Below are 2,254 nucleotides of genomic sequence, written 5' to 3' on the forward strand. Positions count from 1 at the left end.
AGAATGGTCTTGATTTCCTGACCTCGTGATCCACCCGCCTCGGCCTCCCAACATGCTGGGATTACAGGCGTGAGCCACTGCGCCCGGCCCCACATGTGGTATTTTCTAATTTGTTATTTCATTAAAAAGAAAAGCTGGTCATAATTTACTAAACTGATTTTACAACCACTTGTGCCCTACTAGAGTGTTTCTCCACGACAAGAATATACCCAAGGCTGAGAGATGTTAATACAAGCAGTTCCCAACTAAGAATCTTTCCAGACAATGATCATGTCTTTCCTGGTTATGTGAAATCTGAAAACATTTCCCATGAAACAATCTGAAAGGTGGCTGGGAAGGGAAGTAACATTTTCTGAGTGCTATGGTTTGAATATGTCCCCCAAAGTTCGTGTGTTAGAAATAATCCCCAATGCAACAGTGTTAAGAGGTGGAAACTTTAAGAGATGATTAGGTTATGAGGGCTCTGCCATCATGAATGATTAATGCTGTCTGTTATTGCTGGAGTAGGCTAGTTATCTTGGGAGTGGGTTCCTAATAAAAGGCTGAAGTTTGGCCTCCTTCTTCTTCCGTTGCCCTTTCACCTTCAGCCACAGGATAATGTAGCAAGATGGCCCTCAGCAGATGTGGGCCCCTCCACCTTGGACATCCCAGCTTCCAGAACTGTAAGAAACCAATCTCTGTTCTTCATAAATTACCCAATCTAGGCCAGGTATGTTGGCTCATCCCTGTAATCCCAGTACTTTGCGAGGCTGAGGCGGGTGGATCACTTGAGCTAGGAGTTTGAGACCAGCCTGGGCAACAAAGTCAGACCCTGTCTCTACAAAAAAATACAAAATTAGCAGGTGTGGTGGTGCAAGCCTGTGGTCCCAGCTACCCAGGAGGCTGAGGTTGGAGGATGGCTTGAGCCAGAAAGCAAAGGTGCAAAGGTTGCAATGAGTCGAGATCGTGCCACTGCACTCTAGCCTGGGCAACAGAGCCAGACCCTGTCTCAAAAAACCAACCAACCAACCAACCCACAAAAACCATACCCAATCTGAGGTTTTGTTATAACAGCACAAAGTGAACTAAGGCACTGAGTATCTATTACATACATTATTTCTCAACAACACTCCTGAGAGGAAGAAAATACCATTCCATTATGTAGATAGGAAAAGTGCAGTTCAGAGAGGATAACTGGTAGTTGGGTACCCTAGGTCATTTGGCTCCAAAACTGCTCTTTTTAGTATATGACAGTATTTCTGTATGTTTATAGGGACAGCTCCCTCCAACCCCCTACTTCTCTGAAAACACAAAATTCCATTCAACCAAATTTAGCAGGATGCTACAGAACCTAATTACCATTTATGGAGATAATCTATGTAGAGATTATCCTTAATTATAACTTGGGCTCTAAAAACACATTCTCCACAATGGTATAATGTTTAACATCCCATTAACTCCCCAGTTTACTCCTAAAATATGCCAGAGCAATGGAAAAGTATTCTCAGTGACTTCAGAGGCAGCAGGGAGACAGAGGAGACAGGGACAACTTGAGGTGTTTCCAGCATTTCCAGCTTAGAGGAAAGCAGGTGGCAGTGTCTGGCTCTTTGCCCCATCTGAGTGGTATTTTTTCAGCTCTCTTAAGTCCTCCTCCCCCTACTCCCAAGGAATTTCTGGAAATGAAATATCCTGGAAGAACAATCTCTTCTTTTGCTCAGCATTAAAATAACTCTACAGCTAAGCATTCAGGTATGAACTACCATTCTTGATACAAATGTCAGCAGCAGAAACAACCTTACATTTCTACACCTAAAAATGGCTGTTGAATGGCGGAGGGCGGGTGGCTGGTTTCTGAGGGACGTCTGAATATTTCCACCATAAATCCATTTCTAGGTCTGATAAGGCAGCCACCAAAACAAAAAACAAAAAGCACCTGCACTCCCCTCTTGCTGTTGATGCAAGCCTGCTGCTAGCTCTCCACATCACCGGTGAGGGAATCCTAGCTTCAGGCCTCTAACCCTGACTAGTGACTCATCTGGGAGTAAAGGGGTCACATATTTCTATCTGTGTGCCTACAAACTAGAGATCAGCAAGGTCTGCAAAGTTTTAGCCCCAGGAAGAATGAAAACCGGAAGCAGTCATGTTCTTTCTCTCCTCTCTGCCAAGCTCCTGAAGGAGAGAGGGTGCCTTCTGCTCACCTCAACTTTTCTTACCTATCACATTACTTTGTGCTCCATTTTCTACGGCTAGGCATTTGCTAAAGTATGAGCAAATG

This window comes from Homo sapiens, chromosome 1, assembly GCF_000001405.40.
Source record: "Homo sapiens chromosome 1, GRCh38.p14 Primary Assembly".
NCBI classification, from domain to species: Eukaryota; Metazoa; Chordata; class Mammalia; order Primates; family Hominidae; genus Homo; species Homo sapiens.